Source organism: Homo sapiens, chromosome 11, assembly GCF_000001405.40.
Source record: "Homo sapiens chromosome 11, GRCh38.p14 Primary Assembly".
Classification (NCBI taxonomy): Eukaryota; Metazoa; Chordata; class Mammalia; order Primates; family Hominidae; genus Homo; species Homo sapiens.
In genome coordinates, this window is record NC_000011.10 from 64,202,528 (window position 1) to 64,205,329 (window position 2,802).

Consider the following 2,802-nt stretch of genomic DNA (forward strand, 5'->3'; position numbering starts at 1 on the left):
ATGAGCCACCGCACCCAGCGTTGTTTTGTTTTTTAGTCAGCAATGGTTTTGGATTCCAAAGCTCTCAGGACCAAGGCCCACGCATTTTGTCTAGTTGTCATGTACTCTTCAGTTTCTCAAACTGGAATTGTCCCCCGCTATGTGTTTTTCATAACATCAGCCTCTTGCAGAGTCCAGGCAGTTTGTCTTGTGTGGGATGATCCATCATCTGGAGTTGTCTTTCCTGATGTTGTCCCCTCTGTTTGGTGCTGGGTGAGGCATTAGAGTTGGAAGTCCACATGCTTGAGTTGCCTGTACTGAGCTTGTCCAAGGGAATGAGCCTAATTTCTTTCTGTTGCTTCATTCTAGGACTGTGAGGAATGTATCCAGCTGGAGCCGACCTTCAGTAAGTGCCTTTCTGCTGCCTGTCCCCTGTCTCTAGCCAAAAGATTAGAGAAGGAAAGGGCAAGCCCTTTGTCTACCTGTGTGTCCTTGGGACCTGTAGGATTTAGGATCCAACATCAGCAGGTGTGAACAGTGTTGGTGTGCAGGTGAAGAGGTGCAAGGAGCAGCCTTGGGCGCTGCGGTTGGATAACGCGCCACCTTTCCTGTTTGTAGTCAAGGGTTATACACGGAAAGCCGCTGCGCTGGAAGCGATGAAGGACTACACCAAAGCCATGGATGTGTACCAGAAGGCGCTAGACCTGGACTCCAGCTGTAAGGTGGGGCTGCTTCTGGCCTCCAGGGGCCCCCCCTGCCTCTTTCTCTGTTGGGGCTTTTCCATGTTCAGTCCCTGATTTCTTCCCTGTCACCTCCATTTCTCTCTGTTTCTCTCTTACTTGTTCTCTCTCCCCTTGTCAGTTACCTCTGTTATCTTGGACCTGCTGAAGCAGTGAGCTGGGTGGTCCTAACACGCTTCACCTTTGTCTCTTCTGGACTGCAGGAGGCGGCAGACGGCTACCAGCGCTGTATGATGGCGCAGTACAACCGGCACGACAGCCCCGAAGATGTGAAGCGACGAGCCATGGCCGACCCTGAGGTGCAGCAGATCATGAGTGACCCAGCCATGCGCCTTATCCTGGAACAGATGCAGAAGGACCCCCAGGCACTCAGCGAGTACGTAGAGTCAGAGAGGCGGCCTTGCTGGAAATGGAGAACAAAAGCAGGCAGATGAGTGCACGCGGCTGGGGGGTGGTATGCTCAGTCTGCGAGGAAGAGGAATTCTGTCATTCTTCCTAAACTTAAGGAGATTGGCAGTGGGTGGCGAGCTGGAAGGGCTTTGTTAGTCGTGATAGCTTAAGCAGTCATTTGGAAAGGCCCATTTAGCTGGGAGAAAGGTCTTGACTGGAAGCTGTGTCGTGGGCTCAAGAGTAGGACTGGCAAGTTCTGCGAAGTGGAGCAGGCCTCTGCAGCTCGGCGCCCCGGGCCTCGCCAGGACCCCTCCCTGCCGGGGCCTTCTGTAGAGGGGGTTGAATTGGGGCTTGCTCTGAGAGCAAGTAAGACTTTAAAGGTTGTCTCATTTCAAGTAACTGCGTCTTCCTCTGTAGACACTTAAAGAATCCTGTAATAGCACAGAAGATCCAGAAGCTGATGGATGTGGGTCTGATTGCAATTCGGTGATGACTTGTTCATCCCCCCTTCCCTTCGCCCTCATGTGGAAAGAGGAGCTGGGACCGCGGCGAGCAGCACGGAGCGGAAGGGAGAGCAGGGGAGAGAAGGCCTCATCTCTCTATATTTATACATAACCCCGGGGAAGACACAGAGACTCGTACCTGCGCTGTTTGTGCCGCCGCTGCCTCTGGGCCCTCCCAGCACACGCATGGTCTCTTCACCGCTGCCCTCGAGTTCCATGTCTCTTTCCCCTGCCCCTAGTTGCTGTCTCGGCTGCTCTCCCATAGTTGGTTTTTTTTTTATTTGGGGCAGTGGGCATGTTATGGGGAGGGGAGGGGGTTCTTCCAGCCTCAGGTCCCAGCTGTCTCACGTTGTTTATTCTGCGTCCCCTTCTCCAATAAAACAAGCCAGTTGGGCGTGGTTATATGTTGCTTTGGCCTTGAGTGATTTTTTTTTTTTTTTTAAACCAGGAGTTTGTCTTGCAGGGGCTGCTCCTGGAACCTGATCTTGCTCTTCTCTTTGGGGCGGGCTTAGGAGGAGTCCCAAGCTGTGGCTTGGCACAGCTCCATGGCTTTGCCAAGAAGGTTGCCAGATGGCGCTGTTGCTCAGCAGCTGGAAGGGAATCTGAAGGCTTCCCCACCCCAAGTAGTACCAATGAGAGGTTCAGATAAGCTTTGGGTGCTGTTAATTCTCCACGTTATAGTGGAGATCCAGAGAACAGGATTCTAATGTGAGATGCTGAGACCTCTGTGGGGAGAGGGCAGCTATGCTGTTAGCTGCTGTTAGATTTAGGAGTTGGGTCATGGATTGTTTTTGTTTTGTTATTTGAGATGGAGTCTCAGGCTGGAGTGCAGTGGTGTGATCTCGGCTCACTGCAACCTCCACCTCCTGGGTTCAAACGCTTCTCCTACCTCAGCCTCCCCAGTAGCTGGGATTACAGGAGCCTGCTACCACACCCAGCTAATTATTATATTTTAGTGGAGACAGGTGTTTCGCCATATTGGCCAGGCTAGTCTCGAACTCCTGACCTCAAGTGATCCACCCGCCTCAACCTCCCAAAGTGCTGGGATTACAGGCATGAGCCACTGCACCCCACTGGGTGATGGGTTTTTTTTGTTTGTATTTTTTGAGATGGTGTCTCTCTCTGTCGCCCAGGCTGGAGTGCAGTGGCGTGATCCAGCTCACTGCAAGCTCTGCCTCCCGGGTTCACGC

The 2,802-nt window shown here is 52.7% G+C and overlaps 1 protein-coding gene across 3 annotated transcripts in view; it reads left to right on the top strand.

Annotated features, from left to right (window-relative positions):
* Nucleotides 1-2,016, top strand: part of STIP1 (stress induced phosphoprotein 1) — a 19,272-nt gene extending 17,256 nt beyond the window's left edge. For all 3 annotated transcript variants that reach the window (NM_001282652.2, NM_006819.3, NM_001282653.2), the window contains exons 11-14: nucleotides 349-385; nucleotides 598-701; nucleotides 923-1,095; nucleotides 1,527-2,016. In NM_001282652.2, the coding sequence (NP_001269581.1) occupies nucleotides 349-385; nucleotides 598-701; nucleotides 923-1,095; nucleotides 1,527-1,599 (387 nt within the window). In that variant the 3' untranslated portion in view covers nucleotides 1,600-2,016. The remainder of the gene's footprint in view (nucleotides 1-348; nucleotides 386-597; nucleotides 702-922; nucleotides 1,096-1,526) is intronic.